General features: G+C 40.2%; 1 protein-coding gene, 1 non-coding gene and 2 pseudogenes across 10 annotated transcripts in view; 3 read left to right on the top strand and 1 right to left on the bottom strand.

Annotated features, from left to right (window-relative positions):
- Positions 1-273: 273 nt before the first annotated feature.
- The window catches only part of CFAP300 (cilia and flagella associated protein 300), a 37,118-nt gene continuing 12,099 nt past the window's right edge, over positions 274-25,292 (top strand). For 8 of the 9 annotated variants that reach the window (NM_032930.3, NM_001441265.1, NM_001441267.1 and 5 more), the window contains exons 1-4: positions 274-417; positions 652-733; positions 11,717-11,792; positions 19,322-19,488. In NM_032930.3, the coding sequence (NP_116319.2) occupies positions 308-417; positions 652-733; positions 11,717-11,792; positions 19,322-19,488 (435 nt within the window). In that variant the 5' untranslated portion in view covers positions 274-307. The remainder of the gene's footprint in view (positions 418-651; positions 734-11,716; positions 11,793-19,321; positions 19,489-25,292) is intronic. The other variant, NM_001195005.2, reaches the window with a different exon arrangement.
- LOC124902842 (uncharacterized) lies at positions 9,764-9,854 on the top strand (annotated as a pseudogene).
- RNA5SP535 (RNA, 5S ribosomal pseudogene 535) lies at positions 10,691-10,797 on the top strand (annotated as a pseudogene).
- On the bottom strand, positions 11,142-11,245 carry LOC124902830 (small nucleolar RNA U13). The gene has a single exon (XR_007063015.1). It is a non-coding gene; the product is annotated as a small nucleolar RNA U13 (small nucleolar RNA).

Below are 25,292 nucleotides of genomic sequence, written 5' to 3' on the forward strand. Positions count from 1 at the left end.
TTGAGACTAGAATATTAACCCATGCTGAGTAATTATTATTAAAAGTTAATGTCAACAAGTATCGATTGGCAATTTGTCTCCATCCCCGACCCCTAGTTTCCCTAACCGCCAAGCCCGGGGTTGGGGAGTGGAGTGGCACAAGCTCCTGGGAAAGACAGGCTAACCTCCCTCCCTGCACCCGCGGCGGCAAGGCCGGAACTCCTGGGTCCCTAGAGACGTGTGGCCCCGCCCCCGCAGCGTCGCTCCGACACGACGGCCGCCGCGTCTCCATGGAAACGGCCCAGGCATCCACCCAGCCGAGAGCACGATGGCTACTGGGGAGCTCGGGGACTTGGGTGGCTACTACTTCAGGTTCTTGCCTCAGAAAACCTTCCAGTCTCTGAGCTCTAAGGAGATCACCAGCCGGCTCCGCCAGTGGTGAGGAACCGAGGCACAGGGAGAGAAGAGGCCCTTGGTCTTCGCGGCTGTGGAGGCGCAGGCCGGGCGTCGAGGGGCCCGCGCGGGTCGGCGCCATTCTGAGTGAACCCTGAGGCTTCCTGAGTGAACCCCGAACCACCCGGGAAGGGCGGATGCTGTGGGTGGGATCGGTTATCGGTGCGCTCTGAGAGGGTGCCAGCCCCCAGATGATTTCTTTTTCCTCCTCTGCCCCAGGTCCATGCTGGGCAGAATCAAGGCGCAGGCGTTCGGCTTTGACCAGACCTTTCAGTCCTATCGGAAGGATGATTTCGTTATGGTTAGTATGGGGGTCGGAGAGTTCCCTGGGTCTCTGCGGATTTTTAAACTTCCCCCCAAGTTGGCATAGATTCTTGTGAACACGCTATTCCTTACTGACGTCGTTTTCTTGGCGTTTGGGAGTAATAAAAGGTGCAAATGATTTTTTTAAAGGAACTTTTACGTTTCGAATCAGTCATCATAAATTTGTTTGCCATTTAGTTCATTCTTTCTCTACTTTCAGCATCTTGTATCTTGCCTCGGGGAACTTTGCAGTTCTGGAAGATCGCGCGCTCTCTAGAAGATTAGTTTCTCCCTTTGTTTATTTTTGTTTCATTTTATTTTGTTTTATTTTATTTTATTTACTTATTTTTTGAAACAGGGTCTTTCTCTGTCACCCAGGCTGAATAAAGTGCAGTAGCACCATCTCAGCTCACTGCAGCCTGGACCTCCCGGGCTCAAGCTTCCTGAATAGCTGGGACTACAGGTGCAGGCCACCACGTCCAGCTAATTAAAAAAAATTTTTTTAGAGGCAGAGTCTCACTATGTTACCCAGGCTAGTCTTGAATCCCCGGGCTCCCAAAGTGCTGGGGAGTACAGGCGAGCCACCACCCCCAGCCTCTCTTTTTCAATAGGCACATCTCATTTTAAAATATTTTAAATATTATCACACAGCTTTATCGCCGCTTTATTTACTAGCTCCAAATTACTTTCGATTTTTTTCTCAACATCACACCCACTCTGAGAACTGGGCTTCAGGCTCTACCAACAGTTCCAAATGAGGAATTCCCCCAAAAAAGTATGAAGCCGTAGCACAGTGATTTGAATAAGTCTTTTGACTACTAGAGGTGACTACTTTGAGAGAGGTAAAACTCACTTGAAAGTTTAAGTTTTGGTGTGTTTGTTAAAATTTAGTCCATTATTTTCAATCCTGTTTTTTTTTTCTCCTCAATCAAATGGAAAATACTGTTACAGTTTATGAAGTTATCTTCATTCTCTGCCATTCATGTCCTTCATGCATTGACTGTAGTTTATAGTTTGGCATAACAAACACTTCCTGAGGGCCTATCATGTGCTAGGAATTCCTTCCAGTGCTGGGGATACGAGGAGGAACAAGACAAGAGCCCAGCTGTCAAAGATTGTACGGGCCTTGGCAAGACTACAATAAATGAAAAAACAATCTGATTATTTCATATAGTGATAAGGGCAGTAAAGAAAATAGGAGGAAATGGAGAAAGGAGAACATTAGGTAGGATTGTGTCATAGTTCTGGAGGCTAGAAGTCTTAAATCAAGGTGCTGGCAGGGCCATCATTCCTCTGAAACCTGTAGGGGAGAATCCATCCTTGCCTCTTCCTGCCTTCTGGCGGTTGCCACCCTCCCTTGGCGTCCTTTAGTTTGCAGCTGCAGAACTTTCTTCTCTTCCTGTCAGTCCCATAGCCTTTTCCCTTCATATGTCTGCATCTCTTCTTCTTATAGAGACACCAGTCATATTGAATTAAGGGCCCCGCATAACCTCATCTTAATTAATTACATCAGCAACAACGCTAATTCCAACTAAGGTCACTTTGTGATATTTCAGGAAGGATGTAAATTTTGGGGGGACACTATCAACCCATAACAGAGAGTAAATTGGTTAAATGTCTACCTCCCTTTCCCTAAGATGGTGTTATAGTGCCATTATATTATAATGCTACTGATAATGACATTAATAACATTTCTCAAATACTCATGGTTAGATTATTATGTAGTTTTTTATATTTTTTATTTATACCAGTACTGGCTGTCTATAATTTTTTTTAAAGATCAGGATTTGAGGACACTGAATTTTAGAATACTGTAAAAATTTTAGTATAATTCATTTATTCAATAAATATTTGTTGAATATTTACTGTGTCCCTCTAGAGGGTATAAAAAGATGAAGAGACCTGATCCCAGCTTACAAGGCATGTATAGTTTGGGGAGCTAGAAATGTTAAGAAAAAAAAAAAGTCTGAGGCAGGGCATGGTGGCTCACAACTGTAATCCCAGCACTTTGGGAGGCTGAGGCAGGAGGATCACTTGAGCCCAGGAGTTTGAGACCAGCCTGGGCAACATAGTGAGATCCTGTGGCTATTTTTTAAAAATTTTTTAATTAGCTGGGTGTGGTGGCACACACCTGTAGTCCTAGCTACTTGCGGGGCTGAGGTGGGAGGATTACTTGAGCTATGATCGCACCTCTGCACCATAGCCTGGGTGACAAAGTAAGACCCTGTCTCAAAAAAAAAATAATTTCTCTATTACTTTATGAAGTATTTTTCTATAGCAGTAGTGACTCCAGTGTGCACAGATTCAGCTGTCAGCACTTTTTATATTATGTTTATCATTAATCTTTACAACAATCTGCCAGGTTTGGTGTTCTGACTCCCATTTTATAGCTTAAAATTCAGAAAGGTTACATAATTTATGCAAAAACATTCAACAAAGGGCAGAACCCAGGCATTTTGACTCTAGAAACCATGCTGTTTCTACAACAAAAACTCACTACTGAACAGAGGGTATTGTTTAAACTAGAATTCCAGATTTTGAATTTTCCCTTTCAATTTAAAAACAAATTATGTTCCAAAAATGTATTTCTGAGATGATAAATGGATGGAAGGAAACATTTATCTGGCAAACATCTCTTTAGTTCCTAGGTCTATATAGATGAATAGACACAATTAAAGGGAGGGAAATACCAAAAATTGCATTGCAGAGAGAGAAGTGATAAAATACATACCTGAGGCATAAGGTACTTTGGTGACACAAAAGAGAAAGTGATCATTTTTGACTGAGGTGGTCAGAAGAGCATTTATAAAAGACAGGACTCTTAAGGCGGGGCCTGAAAGATGAGTAGGAATTCATCAGGTAGATGAAGTGGCAAGGATAATGTTGGAGAGATGGGTGGGATAATATTTTAGAAGACCTTTTGTGCCATGCAAAGAAATTTGGACTTTATCTGGCTAAGAAGGAGAAGTTTTTAAGACAGACTTTAAATGTTAAAATATTGAGATCACCTTGGCAGAAGTGTGGAGGGTGGGTTGTTAGGACTGAGTCAGGAAGTAATGACACCAAATTGGAAACTGTTGTCCTCTAGACAGTTACATGATAATGTCAAGTACCAGTATGGCCCAGATTTAGGAGAAAGGCTTAAGGAATGGTAAGATATTGAGAGTAAAGGAGAGGGGGACATGTAGGATGACTCCCAAGTTTCTGGCTTGGTTGACTCGAGTGGCTGATGATGTCATTAAATGTGTAGAAAACATGGAAGAATTACAAGGAAAATGAGTTCAGTTTCAGGCATGCTGAATTCGAGGTACATACAAGTGGCAGTATTCTAGATAGTTGAATATAACATTTAACTTTGAATTTCAAGAAAGCTCTGGGCCCAGTATATAGTGTTGACATCTTCACCATGGGACTGGGGATGATGAGGAGAATTTTCCACATAAACAACTTCAAGGAAGCGCCTTAATTTACAGAGCTTTCCTGGAAGCCTGCGCAACGCTTCTGCTTACATCTCATGACCAGAACTTAGGCATGTGACCAGAATTTAGGCCTCCCACATCCCAGGGAGGCTGGAAATGCAGACTAAGCTAAGCATATTGCTGTCCCAAATAAAAATGGGATTCCTTAAGGAAGAAAGAATTGATATTGGACTAGAAACCATCAGTCTGCCAGATAGATAATATAGTCAAATATATACTTAAATAATTTAGAAATATTGTCTGTCCAGTATGCATGCTGGATGTAAAAATTAAAATAATAAGAAAATTAAAAATAGAGAAACTTATCTTTTTTCCCCTTACACATTTTTATTTATTTATTTGTTTATTTTTAATAGAGACAGGGTCTCACTATGTTGCCCGGGCTGGTCTCAAACTCCCAGGCTCAAGCAATTCTCCTGCCTCAGCCTCCCAAAGTGCTGGGATTACAGGTGTGAGTTATCACACCCAGCCCACTTTCACATTTTATGAAACAAGTTTATTTAACATTTTCACATGCATTTTGACATCAGTATCTTTGTTATTACTGTAACTAGTTTAGGAATCATCTTATATTTTTCCAAAGCACAGTCAGCTTTCCTAAAGTTGATATACAGAAAATCTCTTCTAATGCCTTACTGGAAATTCCATAACAAGCCAGAAATGCAATTTACATGTATTAGGACATTTTTTAAAAATTCACTTATTAGACATATAATTGTAATCTCAATAATGTAACTTGCATTGCCTTATTTGAGGGTCCCTTATAAAGACTCATTTCCTTTGGTTCTAGTTCAATTCACTGCAGGCCAGTTGACCTGCTGCTCCATTTATAATGACATCTAACATGTAACTGTTAAGTTAATAACCTCCAGGAATAATTACTAAATCTGAATTAAATTTTCTTTTTTTAAGAGATTCTTTCAGAAGGCATAAAATGCATTCAAAACCAATATTAATTGAGGTTAATTCCAGTTTATGTATCTTTTTCAAAATGTACCATTATATAAATTAAAATACTCGCGTGAATATTCTTTTATTTGAAAGACTAAAATGTCATAAGGCAACTTGCTTTTTGTCTAGAAATAACTTTGGGGAAAATTTGTCTTTTTATAATTAAGCATATATGATACCTTTTTGAAAAAAATGTGTTTACCTTTAGTTCTTCACCACTAGAATGTAAATTCCATAAGAACAGGGACTGTGTCTGGCTTGGCATAATGTAGACATTTGTAAATAATCCTCAGCTCACATCTCTTCTCTGTTCTCTTTCTTGTTAAATAGCATTTATTAAATGGTTTTTCATGAAGAGGAATCCAAGGAGTCATCTTCCTTCTCCATTTGTTTCTTCCTCCTAAATAACATTAAATCCATCTACTTCTCTACCTCCCCACTTGGTATCTCCTTGACTGATGAGGACATCAGCTCTTCCATGATTACAACAGTAGCCTTCCTCCTAGCTAGTCTTTTTCCAGCCCTTCAATTCATTCTCCACGCTGCAGCCAGAATGAACTTTAAAGAAAAATAGATGATTCTGATAACTCTTTCCTCTGCTTAAAAATCTTCAGTCTGGCCAGGCGCACTGGCTCAAGCCTGTAATCCCAGCACTTTGGGAGCCTGAGGCGGGTGGATCACCTGAGGTCACGAGTTCAAGACCAGCCTGACCAACATGGTGAAACCCTGTCTCTACTAAAAAACACAAAAATTAGGTGGCCATGGTGGCAGGTGCCTGTAATCACAGCTACTCAGGAGGCTGAGGCAGGAGAATCACTTGAACCTGGGAGGTGGAGGTTGCAGTGAGCTGAGATTGCGCCATTGCACTCCAGCCTGGGCGACAGAGTGAAACTCCTTCTCAAAAAAAAATAATTAATTAAAAAATAAAATTTAAAAAAAGGCTGGGCACAGTGGCTCTCACGCCTATAATCCCAGCACTTTGGGAGGCTGAGGTGGACAGATCACCTGAAGTCGGGAGTTCAAGACCAGCCTGACAAACATGGAGAAACCCAATCTCTACTAAAAATACAAAATTAGCTGGGCATGGTGGCGGGTGCCTATAATCCCAGCTACTTGGGAAGCTGAGGCAGGAGAATCGCTTGAACCCAGGAGGCGGAGGCTGCGGTGAGGCAAGATCATACCATTGCACTCCAGCCTGGGCAACAAGAGCAAAACTCCATCAAAAACAAACAAACAAACAAACAAACAAACAAACAAAAACCTTCAGTGTGGCTGGTGTCGTGGCTCATGCCTATAATCCCAGCTCTTTGGGAAGCTAAGGCAAGAGGATCACTTGAAGCCAGGAGTCTGAGACCAGCTTGGCAACAAAGTGAGACTCTGTCCGTATTATAAAATTATAAAAGAAAAAGAACTTCAGTGTTTTGCCACTGCCCTTAGATCAAAATACTGATCAAGATCTAGATCGATTTTAGATCAAGATTAAAATTCTTCACTTGACTGCAAGGTCAATTTAACTCCCCAGCCTTATCTGACCATTGCTGCTTCTGGGTCACACCAAACCTCTTCACTTTCCTTGAATGGAATGTATCATCCTTTCTCACCTTACAGCCTTCATACTTACCATTTTCTCTCCCTTAAAAAATGGTAATTCCAGTTGCATACTGGAACCAGTTTAGGAGAGCCTGATTGCTAGACTTTCAGGAATCTTTGTTTGCTGGTTGTTACACTGTTGGCAACTTGAAATCCACCATGGAAACAGGCAAACGCCACAATCAGGGCTTTTTAGGGGAGGAAGAGTGGCCAGTTGTTAAACATTTACCAGTATACCCCTTTGCCCAGCTAACTCCTACTCAACTTTCTGATCTAAACCTAAATGTTCTTTCTATATGAACATTTTTTCCCAATGCCGTTAGATTATGTCTGCCCATTTTGTACTTTGATAGCACCTGCGCTTTTTTGTAGTATACATGGCATGTTACTATCTCCTCTCTTACTATCTGCCTGCCCATGAGGGCAAGCACTGTCCATTGGATTTTAGTATTAGGAAGTCAAAGGTACTATTCATTAAGTGATAGGAGCAGGAACCAGATAGAGAGGAATGAGAAGTAGATAAGAGAAGTGAGGCTGGGCTCGGTGGTGCACGCCTGTAATCCCAACACTTTGGGAGCCTGAGATGGATGGATCCTCAGGTCAGGAGTTCAAGACCAGCCTGGCCAACATGGCAAACCTGTCTCTATTAAAAATACAAAAATTAGCTGGGTGTGTTGGCGCACTTCTGTAGTCCCAGCTACTTGGGAGACTGAGGCAGGAGAATCTATTGAACCCAGGAGGTGGAGGCTGCAGTGAGCTGAGATCGAACCATTGCACTCCAGCCTGAATGACAGAGCAAGACTTGGTCTCAAAAAAAAAAAAAAAAAAAAAGTGAGACAGTTTAGATTCCTCTCTGAAGAAGGTATTCCTCTCTCAAGAGGGAAAAGTGAGTGATCACTTGAAGGGAATGTTGAAAAAATGAAACTATTTATAGTAACAATTTGAACAACAAAGAATAATTCATAGAAAAAGTCAGTCTTATCCCAATCTACTCCTACTCCCTACCCTCTCAACCCTCCTCACGAGTGTGTAACCACCACTTCTGAAGCAAGTAGTTTGATATTCTTTTTTTTTTTTTTGAAGACAGAGTCTCTCTCTGTCGCCCAGGCTGGGGTGCAGTGGTGCGATCTCAGCTCACTGCAACCTCTGCCTCCGGGATTCAAGCGATTCTCCTGCCTTAGCCTCCTGAGTAGCTGGGATTACAGGCACGTGCCACCACGCCCAGCTAATTTTTGTATTTTTAGTAGAGACAGGGTTTCAACATGTTGGTCAGGTTAGTCTTGAACTCCTGACCTCGCGATCTGCCTGCCTTGGCCTCCCAAAGTGCTGGGATTACAGGTGTGAGTCACCGCACCCGGCCTATGATACATATTCTTACATACTTTTCTTTATGCTCATATAAATGTATAAAAGTTTTATTTTGTTTTACCACATGCGTTACTCTTTTTTTTTTTTTGAGATAGGGTCTCACTGTGTCACCCAGGCTGGAGTGCAATGGTGCGATCTCAGCTCACTGCAACCTCCACTCCCCTGGGCTTTAGCAGCCCTCCTAACTCAGCCTCCCGAGTAGCTGGGGCCACAGGTGCACAGCACTGTGCCAAGCTAATTTTTTGTATTTTTAGTAGAGATGGGGTTTCACCAGGTTGCTCAGGCTGGTCTCGAACTCCTGAGCTCAAGCCTCAGCCTCCCAAAGTGCTGGGACCATAGGCGTGAGGCACCACACCTGGCCATATACATTACTCCTAAACTACCCTTTTTTTTTTTTTTTTTTTGAGACGGAGTCTCGCTCTGTCGCCCAGGCTGGAGTGCAGTGGCACGATCTTGGCTCACTGCAAGCTCTGCCTCCCGGGTTCACTCCATTCTCCTGCCTCAGCCTCCCGAGTAGCTGGGACTACAGGCGCCCGCCACCACGCCCAGATAATTTTTTGTATTTTTAGAGACAGAGTTTCACCGTGTTAGTCAGGATGGTCTCAATCTCCTGACCCTGTGATCCGCCCGCCTCGGCCTCCCAAAGTGCTGGGATTACAGGCATGAGCCACCGCGCCCGGCCCTAAACTACCCTTTTTTAACTGAAAGTATTTATGGTTTTTCCTCAAAATCAATACATAGTCTGTTCAGGGGATGTTTATTTAGTAAGTGCTATATGTTAGGCCCTGTTCTAAGTCCTGGGAGATAGCAGTGAATAAGAAAAACAGGACCCCTCCTCTTAGGGAGCTTACATTCTATTCTAATACTTTCTTTCCAATAGCTGCATTCTGTCTGATATAGATGGACTATGTTTTATTCAACTGTTTTTTTACTGATAGACATTGAAATTGTTTCCAAGTTTTGACACTACAAACCATACTATATTAAAACAAAAAACTCCTTATACCTAAATCTTATCCACTGGTGGTTTCAGAATCCAAAAGTAGAGTTTGTTGGATGAGATATGCATGTTTTTATTGTTCAAGATAATAGCAAATTACTTTCCCAGAGGGTTATAAAGATTCACACTTCTGCCAGCAGCTTGTGAAAGTGCATGTCTTCTGGTGCTTTCACCAAAAGTTACCAGTCTTTTTAAATCTTGGCAATGTAATGGATAAAAGTGGTATCTTCTGGATTTTATTTTCATTTCTTTCACTGCTCTTGAAATTGAGCATCTTTTCCTAAAGTTTATTGGCTATTTGTGGGGTTTTTTGTTTGTTTGTTTGTTTTTTGGGTTTTTTGTTTGTTTGTTTGTTTTAAGATAGTCTCACTCTGTTACCTAGGCTGGAGTGCAGTGACACAATCTCAGCTCACTACAACCTCCACCTCCCAGGTTCAAGCAATTCTCATTCCTCAGCCTCCCGGGTAGCTGGAATTACAGGAGTGTGCCACCATGCCCAGCTAATTTTTGTATTTTTTCAGTACAGACGGGGTTCGCCATGTTAGCCAGGCTGATCTTGAACTCCTGGCCTCAAGTGATCCACCCACCTTGGCCTCCCAAAGTCCTGGGATTACAGGCCTGAGCCACCGCACCTGGCCCTATTTTTATTTTTTATATGCCTATTTTTATCCTTTGCTGACATGTGCCACCCTCAAACCTTGTGATGATGTCAGCACATTACCCTTCTGACATGAGAAAAGAAAAATAATTATAAAATAAAAAAGAGCTAGCCTGGGTGCGGTGACTCACGCCTGTAATCCCAGCACTTTGGGAGGCCAAGGCAGTCAGATCACCCAAGGTCAGGAGTTCAAGACTAGCCTAGCCAACATGGTGAAACCCCTTGTCTACTAAAAATACAAAAAATTAGCCGGGCATGGTGGCACACACCTGTAATCCCAGCTACTCAGGAGACTGAGACAGGAAAATCGCTTGAACCCGGGAGGCAGAGGTTGCAGTAAGCCGAGATCGCACCACTGCACTCCATCCTGGGCAACAAGAGCGAAACTCCATCTCAAAAAAAAAAAAAAGAAAAAAAGAAAACTTTCGTTCCATGCACCAGCAGCTGACTCAAGCTGAAAAGGCAGAAGAAAATTTAGGTTTGTCAGTTTTTCTTACAGTTAGTTTTTTTTTTTAATCACTAGGATGTCAGTTTCTCCGTTTTAACATATGTGTTGCAAATATTTTCTCTCAGTCTATTATTTTTCTTTTGTTTATTGCTCTTCACAGACATTATGTTTTCTGGCTGTCCAGCACCTTGTAAACAACCATGCAATTTGGGAGTAACTTTTGGGAAGTCCAAGTGAAACCTCCCAAAATGCAAGGAACTCCCTTGCATCCAGATAGTAAGCGTGGGACCTAGGTTTACAAACAGACTCATCAGTGCAAGACTGGAATTTTGAAGTGAGCAACTTAAGGAAGGAGGCACACACAGAATTCATTTCTTTGGCAAAGGTAGTGGCAGAGACCACTTTCAGGCCAGACAGACCTGGCACAGCAATGGCCTAGGTTAGAAGGGAGTGATGGTGATGTCTACAGCCATACCACCCTGAATGCTGGAAGCTAAGCAGGATTGGGCCTGGTTAGTACTTGATGTTTATGGCCATACCATCCTCGATGTACCTGATATTGAAAGCTAAGTAAGGTTGGGCCTGGTTAGTACTTGAATAGGAGAAAGGGGTGATGGTGGCTTCCTCTAGTGCTTGATGGGGCTATCGCTTCTCAGCCTTTTGGCTAAGATCAACTGTAGTGCTTCGTGGGGCTGCAGCAAGGGTGACAGTTTCCTCATGAGGGCAGTTCTGCATATGATTTTGGATTGTTCCTGGGTCCAGCCTTCAGCCTGATGCCCTCCACCCCCGGAACATTTTGTGGACTCCCTGAGATGCTTCTAATAAATTTTCTTCTGCCTTTTCAGCTTGAGTCAGCTGCTGGTGCCAAGAACTAAAGCTCTTTTTTATTTTATATATTTTTTTCTTATTTCATGTCAGACTGACAATATGCCGACATCATAACAAGGTTCGAGGATGGCACATCTCACACATACCTGTGAAAACCCAGTCATCATGCTCATAAACTACAAAAGGATCTGGAACTAAAACTCTTACCTGCTTTGTTGTCTTTTGCCATACAGAAAACGTTTCATTTTTAGGAAGTTAGATTTTTCACTTTTTTACATGCCTTTTGGAAAGAATTAAATTGACAGTTACTTTTGGATTTAGATCTAGTATGTCAGTTGTTACGAAGGCAATTCAATAAGCAAGATTGAAGGAAAACAAAGTTTTCAAATATTATATAACCTCCTAATGTTTACTCTATATCATTATTTTCTAAATTAAGTTCCAAAGACATCTGTACTTGGACACACAATGTTCATACTGTTCCAAGTTGGATGTAATAAAACTTCATTTATTTATAAACTCTTTATTACTCAGACATTTTACCAATTTAAAATTGTCCTTTCTATTTGAATTAAAGGAGATTATAGTTATTTTATGTTAATTTTTACTATCATTTATAATAAAATATCTAACTTATTCCCCTCAAATTTGTATTTTAGGCTTTTTTCAAAGACCCAAATGTTATTCCCAATTTGAAGTTACTTTCAGATTCTTCTGGACAATGGATCATATTAGGTAAATAAAATTTTCATCTTTTCAGATACTATTTTACTATTATAAGAAAATTTTGCCTCAGGAATTTTCATTATTAAAATATAAATTGGGAATGACTCATCTGTTTGATACATCAAGATCAAATATGACCAGCTGTGCCAGACCTGCCCTGCATCTCTTTCCTGGGAGTCTACTGCTACTATGCTGGCTTAACACATAAGAGCAATTTTTCTCTCTTTTTATTCATATAAAAGTATTTATTGTGTATTTTCCATGTACTCTGCTAGATATAGGGAACATTAAGGTAAATAAGAAAACCTGTACTAAATGAACTTGATATGTTAAAATGTGTGTGTGTGTGTGTGTGTGTGTGTGTGTGTGTGTGTGTATGTACTAATATGTCAAAGGTGCTACCATAGAAGTGTAGCCAAGGGCCAGGCATGGTGGCTCACGTCTGTAATCCCAGCACTTTGGGAGGCTGAGGCGGGCGGATCACTTGAGTACAGGAGTTCAAGACCAGCCTGGCCAGCATGGTGAAACCCCATCTCTACTAAAAATACAAAAATTAGCCAGGCGTGGTGGCGAGCACCTGTAATACTAGCTACTTGGTGGCTGAGGAAGGAGAATTGATTGGACCTGGGAGGTGGAGGGTTGCCGTGAGCTGAGATTGTGTCACTGCCCTCCACCCTGGGTGAGAGAGCAAGAATGCCTCAAAAACTAAAAAAAATGTAAAAGTGTGGGCAAGAATGGTCAGTTCTGCCCAGAGGGAAAAGATCAGGAAAGAGTCCACTGATATTGGGATATTTGGGCAAAATCTAAATTGAGATGAGTACATGGGTACATGGATTTCTCACAGAGGAATCAGCCAACCACAGGACTTTTTTTTTTTTTTTTGAGACAGTGTCTCACTCTGTCACCCAGGCTGGAGTGCAGTGGTGCCTCCTGGGTTCAAGCAATTCTCATGCCTCAGCCTCCCCAGTAACTGGGATTACAGTCATGGGCCCCCACACCCGGCTAATTCCTGGCTAATTTTTGGTTTTTTGCTTACTTGTTTTTTGAGACAGTGTCTCACTGTCACCCAGACTGGAGTGCAGTGGTGTGATCTCAGCTCACTGCAACCTTCGTCTCCCAGGTTCAAACGATTCTCCTGCCTCAGCCTCCCAGGTAGCTGGGATTACAGGTGTGTGCCACCACACCTGGCTAATTTTTGTGTTTTTAGTAGAGACGGGGTTTCGCCATGTTGGCCAGGCTGGTCTTGAACTCCTGACTGCAAGTAAATCTGCCAACCTTGGCCTCCCAAAGTGCTGAGATTACAGGCGTGAACCACCACGCTCAGCCTAAATTTTTTTTTTTTTTTTTTTAAGTAGTGATAGGGTTTCGCCATGTTGGCCAGGCTGGTCTCAAACTCCTGGCCTCAAGTGATCCACCTGCCTTGGCCTCCCAAAGTGCTGGGATTATGGGTGTGAGCCACCGCGCCCAGCTAGATTATATTTTCATAATGTATTATTTCATAATACATTGAAAGAGCCAGAAATTTTTTTTAAGAAAATTACCCAAACACTTAAACACTTAGTAGCACTCACTTAAGTCCCTTCAATAACTCTTGGGACAAGGAAGAAAGCAGAGTTAATATAAGACTATTTTGGGGAAAAAAAAATGAAAGCTATATTTTAAATTTTAGGTTGAGATTATCTTAGCAACAGAATGAATAAAAGCAACGTTCCATTTAGAAGGAGAATCTGATTGGTGATATGGATTTATACTCAATAAAATGCATTTTAAATTAGATTTTTTTTGTTTAGGGGTGTATTTTGGTAAATTACACAAAAGTAACTTAAAGTATTAGTCAAGAACAAGATTACAAACAGTTCATGATGTTAGACTTAGTAGGTCAGATTTTATTGCTTTTGGCTAAAGACTACTGCAAAATTTATAGAGCGAAAAGCTGGTACAGACTACTTACAAAATTAAACTGAGTATCTGAGAGAATATATTTACCCAACTCAAAATTTTCAAAAGGAAATAATCAGAGCCATGTATCACAGTGTTTAGAAAACATGTTTACAGTAACTTCAGTCAATCTATTTGAAAAAATAAGGCTCACTGAAATAAGTGCTCAACCCTCTCCCCATGTTAGTACATACACAAAATAGCATTAACTTTATACTAATTTTTGAAAAAATCATTGCAAAAAGAGGTTCTCAAATGTCTCATGTGCCTGACTTGATGAATTATAGATACTCTGAAAAATAGGACAGAAGAATAATAACACTATTTCAGAAGCAGAAGTTCTAGTGGAATGTTAGTACTCTTCCACTAGCTCATTTTTATCTCCTTTTACTTTTTCTTTTTCTGCTATATTTCTTTTTCTGAAATACCCCCCTCTTATTTTCCTCTGGGGCCCTTTTAAAGCAAAAGAAGCAGCTTTTTAAAATAGGTGAAGAGACATTCTTTTGGGAAGTGAACCAGTTCTAAAGAAAGTGATGATGGAACCTCCTTCACTGTGCTGCACTCCCTGGAGATTGCCAGTTGTCGGTGCTGTTTTATCCTCTCAGCCAGCCGCCATAGCTCCTATGTTTAGATACACTTTGTCTTTTTTTGATAACATATAATGGATGCTTCCTATGTGCTCAGCTAAGGGCATCATACACATTAACTCCTTTCATTCATGAAACAATGCAAGAAAGGTAGTATTATATATCACTATTTTACAAATGAATAGTCAGAGGCATAAGCTAAGTAATGTGTGCAGTTTTACTCGACTGAGTGAGCAGAGGATCCAGAATTGAAGACATTCACCACTTCACTCTCCTGCCTCTGTCACTTCCACGTTGATGGGGTTGCCAGAAAAGTACTAACTTAAGACACCGAATGATAAGGAGGCACCCAGTGTTTTATAATGCTAGTACTAGGGAAAAACTGTGTTCTTTCTGTATGTGATCATAGTGATGCATTACATGTCTTATAAATGCTGGGGACATAATTTAATGAAATTCCTACATAAAAAATAGCATGTGTTATGGAGTGAGTTGTGTCCCCACCCCTAAATTCATATGTTTAACCCCTAACCCTTCAATGTGATGGTTTTTGGAGATGGGGCCTTTGGAAAATAAATTAGGTTTAGATGAGGGCACTAGGGTGGGGCCCTCATGGTGGGATTAATGCCTTTATAATAAGAAGTAAAAGCACTAGAGCCATCTAAGTACACAGAAAGAAGACAATTTTCTGCAAGCCAAGAAGAGTGCCTTCACCAGCAACTGAATCATCTGGACCTTGACCTTGGACTTTCTAGCCTCTAAAACTTTGAGAAATACATGTCTATTGTTTAAGCCACCCAGACTATGGCATTTTGTTATAGCAGCCCAAGGTGACTAAGATGGATCTTGGTACTGAGAAGTGAGGAGCTGCTGTAACAAATACCTAAGAATGTGGAAGTGGCTTTGGAACTGAATGATGGATGGAAGCTTGAGGTGCATGTATACGGACACTATGGGCAATTCTGGTGATAGCGCCCAAGGAAATAAGGGATATGTTATTGGAAACTGGGGTAAAGGTGATCTTTGTTATAAAGTGGCAAATAACTTGGATGAACTGTTTTCTATTGTTTTATGGAAGGTAGAACTTATAAGTGATGAAATTGGAGATTTAGCTGACGAGATTTCTAAGCAAAGTCTTAAAGTAATGTCTTGCTTATAGTAAAGTATGAAAGAAGAGAGATGAATTGCAGAAGGAATTGTTAACCAAAAATGAACAAACATTTGAAGATTTGGAAAGTTTTCAACCTATCCTTATTGTAAAAAATGAGAAGGTTTGTTCTGAAGAGAACACTGTTCAGAACACTGAACAGCCATTTGATAAAGAGATCATGGGTATGACTTATGGACTTAATGAGCCATTTCAACAGAAGTCAGGAATAGAGATGGAATTATATCAGCAGCAAAGACTCTGCTAGTTTGAACAATGAGATGAGATGAAGGAAGGCTGTTGGCCTTCTTAGATCCTGCAAGACTGGACCATAGAGCTATTGGGCTGTGAACATGCGCTATTCTTCAAGAAAAGGTTAGAAAGACCCCGAAGCAATTCAGAGATCTTCAGGGCCATCAGGGCCACTGCCTCCATTTCAACAGGCCAGATGGCCTCCAACCAAAGCCTTGGAGGCAGGGCCACCCTGCAGAACATACGGGCTAAATTGGCCCTGTGGAACCTTGGAGATTGGGCCACCCGGAGCCTTCAGGGCTCTACCGCCACCAGGGTAGAAGCAAGACTGCCACCTCGGTGGGTCCAGAGGCAGAGTATCAAACCAAAGAAGATTATCCTTGAGCATTTAAGATCTAAAGGAATTTGACTTTCTACGTTAAGGGCTTGCTTGACACCTGTCACCCCTTTCTTATTTCCTGTTTCTCCCTTTTGGAATGGAAATGACTAGCCTATGTCTGTCCCACCTATGTATTTTGGAAACACATACCTTGTCCTTCTTCACAGGTTTACAGCTGGAGAGGAATTTTGCCTTAGCATGAATCATACCTCAAGTCTACCCATATCCAATTTTTATGATATTTAGAAGAAACTTTGGACTTTAGAGTTGATACTGGAATGAGTGAAAATTTTGGGAGCAGGACAAGGTGGCTCACCCCTGTAATCCCAACACTTCAAGAGGCCAAGGTGGGAGGATCACTTGAGCCCAGGCATTTGAGACTAGCCTGGGCAACACAGCAGACCCTATCTCTACAAAAAACTATCTGGCTGTGTTGGCACACACCTGTAGTCCCAGCTATTCAGAAGGCTGAGGCAGAAGAATCACTTGAGCCCAGGAAGTTGAGGCCACAATGAGCCATGATCACATCACCACACTGCAGCCTGGGTGACAGAGTGAGACCTTGTTGAAGAAAAAAAGAAAAAAAAAGTTTGTGGGGCTGTTGGAATGGAATGAGTGTATTTTGCATGTGAGAAGAACATGAATTTGGGGTCCTAGTGGTTACATGTTATAGACTCAATGACTGAACTATGCCTTTCTTAATTCATATTTTGAAGTCCCATGACCATCCCTCCTTCTACCTCATTGAAACCCAATTATTTCCCAAAGGCCCCATCTCCAACTACCATCACGTTGAGGGTTAGAGCTTCAATATATGAATATTTGGCCATACAGTTCAGTCCATAGAAAATGCTATTTTTTATGTCTCAATATATGAATTTTGAAGAGATAGAATTCAGTCCACAGCAAATGCTATTTTCATATCTCTTATTAAGTGGTTTGAACTTAATCATATTTTTTCACCATCCAAACCCTCCTTCCACTCCCCAAATCAGACCTAGGGTAGGCTAATTAAAATGGCATGCCCGATGTCAGTCCCTCCTCCTGTGTCCACTGACCAATCTTCAGAAACTATCGGGCTCTACACTGGTCTTGTTTTTTTGGACTTTCAACATCACCTAGAACTCCTCTTATCATTTCCTATGGTCTCCTTTTTTCTTTATCTAATCCCTCAGAGGATCTTACCTCTAAACAAAGGAAGCTTCTTAGCAGCATAGCTTTTGCAATTACTGAGGCATACACAGTTCCTGGCTCCAGGCATCCTTCATGCCTCCACATGAGCCCAGCTCAGGACATAGAATAACAGGTCCTAGCATGACTCTCAAGTGGACAGCCAAAAGAGCTAGTGTAAACATTCACCAGCATTACTTACTCTTCTTAAGCACAAGCTACTTCTCAGGTCAGAGATCCAGCAAATGTATCCAGGGTAGGGATACACCGAGGGCCACCACACCTAGGTCTACAATCTTAGAGCTTTGAACAAAAGAACACCACCACTGTTCTATCAGAATGAGAGTGTGTGTATATGTGTCTACATAGAGACTGATTCAGTGATCGATGGAGGTAATAATAAAAATATTCATTTTAATCTTTATGACTTTCTGTAATTTAATGGGACCTCTAGTAGCAGAAAATCCATTCCTGAATGATAAATTCAGGAAATAAGTGTGGGATAGGGAATGGAGGATGGGGCAAAACTAAGTCTACAAGAGAAAAATAGACAAAATGCCGTTATTTCAGTTTTCTGTAATTCTGAATTTGTGATAATTTGATTAGGGCCTGATTTGAAATTTACCTTCACTTAGAAACCGTCTTTTATAGTAAATACTATAAATGAGATCCCAAGGGAGAAATTTTTTGTTTGTTTGTTTGTTTGAGATGGAGTCTCATTTGGTCACCCAGGCTGGAGTGCAGTGGCGTCATCTCGGCTTACTGCAAACTCCACTTCCCAGCCTCCCGAATAGCTGGGATTACAGGAGCCTGCCACCACATGCAGCTAATTTTTGTATTTTTAGTAGAGATGGGGTTTCACCATGTTATCCAGGCTGGTCTCGAACTCCTGGCCTGGCTGGTCTCAAACTCCTGACCTCAAGTGATCCACCTGCCTCGGCTGTCCATAGTGCTGGAATTACAGGCATGACCCACCACACCAGCTAAGAAATTTTTAAATGAAGAGAAAATGTTTTCAAGATACACTCAAGGACTTTACAAATGCTCATCAATTAAAATTTTTGTGGCCAGGCGCGGTTGCTCATGCCTGCAATTCCAGCACTTTGGGAAGCCGAGGCGGGCGGATCACCTAAGGTCGAGAGTTCAAGACCAGCCTGACCAACATGGAGAAACCCCATCTCTACTAAAAAATACAAAATTAGCCAGGCATGGTGGCACATGCCTGTAATCCCAGATACTCGGGAGGCTGAGGCAGGAGAATCGCTTGAACCAGGGAGGCAGGGGTTGTGGTGAGCCGAGATCACGCCATTGCACTCTAGCATGGGAAACAAGAGCAAAACTCCATCTCAAAGAAAAAAAAAAGTGAGTTATAAAGCATTAAGCATAATAGGAATAAAAAATCATACGAAGCAATTCCTATGCTTTTATAGGCAATTCTGATAATATATGCATTAAGAATCCTCTACTACATTTTTTTAAAATGTATTTCATTTTTAAGTATCCTCTAATTTATATTCATCTAGTCCAGAAATGGTGAGATTTTGTTATAAACTTTTTTTTTTTTTTTTTGAGACGCAGCCTAGGCTGGAGTGCAGTGTCGCAATCTTGGCTCACTGCAACCTCTGCCCACCAGGTTCAAGCAGTTCTCCTGCCTCAGCCTCCCTAGTAGCTGGGATTACAGGTGTGTGCTGTAATCCTGGCTAATTAGCCATGCCTGGCTAATTTTTGTATTTTTAGTAGAGACGAGGTTTCGCCATATTGGCCAGGCTAGTCTCGAACTCCTGACCTCAAGTGATCCACCCTCCTTTGCTTCCAAAAGTGCTGGGATTACAGGCATGAGCCACCATGCCTGACCTTGTTATAAACTCTTAATGATTAACAGAAATGAAGAAGCTACAAAATAAGAATTTAACAAAATTCATAAACTAATATATATTTTAAATATATCAAAAATGTCATATTTGTTAACTTCTTAGAATTTCTGCATAGCGATTTATTTTGGAAATAGTTGAGAATACTAAATTAATTTTTCTATCTCCATTCTTTATAAAATATCTTTTTTCAGGAACTGAAGTGAAAAAAATTGAAGCTATAAATGTTCCTTGCACACAGCTTTCAATGTCATTTTTTCATCGGTTATATGATGAAGATATTGTACGAGACAGTGGACATATTGTTAAATGTTTAGATTCTTTTTGTGATCCATTTCTCATTTCTGATGAGTTACGAAGAGTAAGTACAGAATTTTAAAATTTCGCAGTGGAATTTTATTTCAGGAAATGCAAAAATGGCAAAAACTTTGCCTGCTTAAAGCATAAAATACCTTGTCATAAAATACCACCTATTTATAAGTAATGATCGGTAATAATCCTAACATTGGTAGATTTCTACTTAGATGGCACTTTAACCATCAACTTAATTATTTGTGTATTTTAGTAATTCTCAAATAGGTGCTACTAACATCTGATGGGTAGAGATGCTGCGAAACGTCATATAACTCACAGGACAGTCACAACAAAGTTATCTGGCTCAAATTATCTATAGTGCTGAAGCAGGAAAGTCCTGGCCTATTTAATAAGGCCATTTTTGCTCAATGTGGGCCTTTTAACTTATCAAATGAATATTAAAAACATCCCGGAGCTGGGCACAGTAGCTCTCGCTTGTAATTCCAGCACTTTGGGAGGCTGAGGCAGGTGGGTGGTTTGAGCCCAGGAGTTCAAGACCAGCCTGGGCAACATAGCAAAACCCTGTCCACAAAAACTACGAAAGTTAGCCAAGGCTGGTGGCTCACACCTGTATTCCCAGCTGCCTGGAAGGCTGAAGTCCCAGCTGCTCGGAAGGCTGAAGTGAGAAGATTGAGTCTGGGAAGTCAAGGCTGCAATGAGCTGTGATCATGCCACTGCACTCCAACCTGGGCGACAGAGCAAGACCTTGTCTCAAAAATAAACTTAGATAAATAAATAAAAACATCCCAGGAGTAAAAGAATCTTTTTATCTCATTGCTAATATCAACAAAGCCATTGGATTAACTAAATTCAAATTTGTTTCAGTGAAAAGTACACTGAACTTGGAATTAAATTATATAGATTATTTACCTGATTCCTGATTTATTATTTAGAAGATAATAGTCTTAGGCAAATTTCTCAATCTTTTGAGCCTCAAGATCTTATCTATACAACATGAAGATGAAAGTGCCCATTCTACCTTCTTCCTAAAATCATTGAGAAAATTAATTGAAGCATTTACATGTACCTTTTAGAAATATCAAATGCTGTTAAAATGAAATGTCAGCTTGGACAACAGAGCAAGACCCTCATCTCTACAAAAATATGAAGAAATAGGCCAGGTGCAGTGGAGCGCACCTGTGGTTCCAGCTACTTGGGAAGCTGAGGTGGGAGGATTGCTTGAGCCCAGGAGTTTGAGGCTGCTGTGAGCTATGATTGTGCCACTGCACCCCAGTCTGGGCAACAGAGTGAGACCTTGTCTCTAAAAAACAGAAAAAAGAAATGTATTATTGATATTATCATCGTTACAATTATTGAGAGTATTAAAGTAGTTAAAAATGAGGGCTTTCATGTCAAATAGCCATATGTTCAAATCCAGTCTTTGTCACTTAGTAACTGATCCTTAACTTCTCTAAGCTTCAGTTTCTTCATCTATAAAGTAGGCATAATGTGAGAATTATGTGAGATAATGCACTTACTCTGCTTAGCACAATGGCTGGAGCTTAGTAAGTTTTCCAAAATATTAACAACTACTATTAATTACTACTGTTATTATTATCCTTAATTAAGAGAGAAGGGAGACGTACAAGTCTGATGTATTACAAATCCAGATAGCAGTGAACTAGGGAAGCTACTGATCCATCATTCCGGACACAGGAATCTTGTCTGTAGGAGAAAGGGAGGTATCCAACCAGTCTACACTAAGGCAATACCTAAAAGCACTCATTAACTTAGTTAAAGAAGAAAATAAAATTAACTTACTGAGAATACCCAAATACACACAATTGAATGAGACTACATATAGTTTGCTCTTAGGTAAATGAAGTATATCTAACATGAGATAATATAAATAATATACATGGCTGGGCGTGGTGGCTTACTTCTGTAATCCCAGCACTTTGGGAAGCCAAGGTGGGCAGATCACCTGAGGTCAGGAGTTCGAGACCAGTCTAGCCAATATGGCAAAACCCTGTCTCTACTAAAAACACAAAAATTAGCCAGGTGTGGTGGTGGGTGCCTCTAATCTCAGCTACTTGGGAGGCTGAGGCACAAGAATTCCTTGAACCCGGGAGGCAGAGATTGCGGTGAGCTGAGATCACACCACTGCATTCCAGCCTAGGTGAAAGAGCAAGATTTCGTCTCAAAAGAAGAAATTAAACAAAACAAAACAAAAAATACTATGCAGTAGGGATCTCATATTAATTTCTACTTCTCCTTACCAAGGATTGGAAATTACTAATCAGGAAATGTTTGGTCTGGGTTTCCCTCCTTTTGGATACTACTGTCAGCTCTTCTCTCTCACACTTCTTCTCTGGCATAAGGGTCTAAAGACCCTTACCTCTAATTTTAGATAATTCACTGTCACTTCTACAGAAAGAGCATCATCAGTGGACATTTTTTTTAAAAAAGAAGTATTAGTTTTCCAACAGAATACTCTGCAAAACTGCTTGCTGTCTGTCTTATTTATTGCCATGAATAGCACCTTTATTCATGAAATGCTGGAGCTCAGTGTTTTTCTACTAGTTGCCTGTATGGCTTGCTCTTGGGTTCATTGCTACTCTGTGGCAATAGGGAGGAAAGGCTTTTAACTTGGTTGCTTTCTGGCTGATAAAAAATAAAACTAACATCCAGCTTCAGCCTGAACTAAAAAGGGTCCCCCATTGTGCAGCACTACAGATTGTATTGCCTCACTGTAATGTAGTAAGTACTAATAACCACTTTCCTGACTGTGGCTCAGAAGTGTGACCTCTAAGAGCTACGTAGCTGAAGAGATCTGTATGTGAATGGAGAGGGAGAAAAGCCATAGAATATTATGTTTTCACATTCATTCCAAAAAATTTTTAAAAATTATTATATTTTTTTAAATTACACAGCCTAGCCGGGCATGGTGGCTCATGCTTGTAATCTCAGCACTTTGGGAGGCAGAGGCGGGTGGATCACTTGAGACCAGGAGTATAAGACTAGCCTGGCCAACATGGTGAAAACCAGACTCTATTAAAAATACAAAAATTAGCCAGACATGGTGGCATGCGCCTGTAATCCCAGCTACTAGGGAGGCTGAGGCAGGAGAATCGCTTGAACCCAGGAGGCGGAGGTTGCAATAAGCTGAGATTGCGCCACTGCACTCCAGCCTGGGTGACAGAACGAGACTCCATCTAAAAAAAGAAAAAAAATTAGCTGGTCATGGTGGCGTGTACCTGTAGTCTCAGCTACTTGGAAGGCGGAGGTGGGAGGATTGCCTGAACTCAGGAAGTTGAAGCTGCAGTGAGCCAAGATGGCACCATCGCACTCCAGCCTGAGTAACAGAGTGGGACCCTGTCTCCTCCACCCCCCAAAAATTGCACAGCCTAATCAGTTCAATATATGAGAGTATTCATGTAAGAAATGTGTTAACTATTCATTCCTAAGTACTTTATTCACCTTTCTCTTAAGCCAGATCTTCAGATAGTTGCAAACATGGGCCTCAATAACACATCATCATTTTCTTACAGAGGGAGGGAAAGAGGGAGGAAGGAAGGAAGTGGAGATATGCAAGTGTTACATGTGGCACACCCAGAGAGCAATTAAGTATGGACTGCTTTCCCTTACCTATATTTTCCTAGACATACCTAACCTTGGTTTTCATCAAGGCATTATAAATAAACTGTGTATGGACAACACCATAGAGTTGAGTTTTTTAAATACTTCTTATATGCAAAGACCTGTTGGTAAGTTTTCTGTAGAGACTGTGAATGAGCTTAATCAATTTTCATAATTAAGTGCACTTGCTACTAGACAGTGATTGTTGTATAATTCATTGTATTTTCCTTTTACCCTTGTATGGTAGTGTTAAGTGTAATGTACAATTTTGATAGCCTTTCTCCATCTGGAGTTCCTGTTTGTTTGTTTATTTATTTATTTTTGTCTCTATTTTGTTTATTTGTGCTCTGGTATTTATTTCCTTATACTAACTTAGGTTTGTTCTTGCTTTTTTAGTTTCTTGAGGTGCATCATTAGATTATTTGAAGTCTTAGTACTTTTTTGATGTAGGCATTTTTTGCTGTAAACTTCTCTTTTAGCACTAATTTTGCTATATTCCATAGGCATGGGTATATTATATTTCCATTTTTATTTGTTCAAGAAAGTTTAAATTGTTCTTCTGAATTTGTTCATTTACTCACTGGTCATTCAGGAATACGTGTTGTTGGTTCTCATGTATTTGTATAGTTTCCAAAATTTCTTTTGTTATTGATTTCTAGTTTTATTCCATTGCAGTATGAGAAGATACTTGGTATGTTTTCAATTTTTTAAGTGTGTTGAGACTTGTTTTGTGACTCAGCATATGGTCTATCCTGAAGAATGTTCCATGTGCTGATGAGAATAGATATTCTGTAACTGTTGGATGAAATGTTCTGTAGATGTCTATTTGGTCTAGAGTGCAGTTTAAATCCAGTGTTTCTTTATTAATTTTCTGTCTAGATGATCTGGCTAATGTGGAGAGTGGGGTGTTGAATTTCCCAACTATTACTGTATTAGAGTCTGTCTCTTCTGTTAGCTCTAATAATATTTGCTTTATATATTTATGTCTGCTGGTGTTGGATGCATATATATTTAGAATAGTATATCCTCTGCCTGAATTGACCCCATTAGCATTATATAATGAGTTTCTTAGTCCCTTTTTACTGTTTTATTTACAGGTCAAGTGAGTTTGCTATGGGCAACATATAGTTAGTTGGATCATGTGTTGTTGTTGTTTTTTAATCCACTCAGCCAGTTTACACATTTTAAGTGAAAAATTTAGTCTGTTTATATTCAAGGTTATTATTGATATGTGAGGACATACTTCTGTCATTTTGTTAATTTTTTTGGTTATTTTGTATATCTTTTGTTCCTTTTTCTATTTTTGTTTATCTTTGGGGTTTGGTGGTTTTCTTTAGTGGCAATATTTGAATCCTTTCTGTGTTTTCAAATTTTGCTTTCAGGTATAGGTCTCCCTTAACCATTTCTTACAGGGCAGGCCTAGTGATGATGAATTCCTTCCATTTTGGCTTGTCTAGGAAATACTTTCTCTTTTATTTATGAAGGATAATTTTGCTGGGTATAGTATTTTTGGCTGCTAGTTTTTTTCTTTGTTTTCTCTCTCAGCACTTTGAATCATCCCATCCTCTACTGGCCTGTAAGGTTTCTTCTGAGAAATCCATTGTGAGTCTATTGAGGGTTTCCTTATATGTGGCTAGACACTTTTCTCTTGCTGTTTTTAGAATTCTCTTTCTCTTGCTGTTTTTAGAATTCTTTTTCTTTAACTTTTGATGGTTTGATGATAATGTGCCTTCAAGAAGACCTTTTTGGGTTGTACTTATTTGGGGATCTTTAAGGTTCCTGTATCTGGTCGTCTAAATCTCTTGTTAGAATTGAAAAGTTTTCAGCTATTATTTTGTTAAATAGATTTTTTTTATGCCTTTGGGCTTCTCTTCACCTTCTGGAACACCCATAATTCAAAACTGTGTTTGCTTTATGGTATCCTATATGTAATGTAGGCTTTGTTCATTCTTTTTCTCTTTTTTTTTTGTCTGACTGGGTTACTTCAAAAGACCTGTCTTCAAGTTCTGAAACTCTTTCTTTGGCTTTATGTAGTCTATTGTTGAAACTCTCAATTGAATCTTTTATTTCATTCATTGAATTATTCAGTTCTAGGATTTCTGTTTGGTGCTTTTTAATGATATCCATCTTTTTGGTGAATTTCTCATTCATATCCTGAATTGTTTTTCTGATTTCTTTGTATCCTTTATCTGTGCTTTCTTGTATCTCACTGAGCTTCTTTAATATCATTAA

This window comes from Homo sapiens, chromosome 11 (assembly GCF_000001405.40).
Source record: "Homo sapiens chromosome 11, GRCh38.p14 Primary Assembly".
Taxonomy (NCBI): domain Eukaryota; kingdom Metazoa; phylum Chordata; class Mammalia; order Primates; family Hominidae; genus Homo; species Homo sapiens.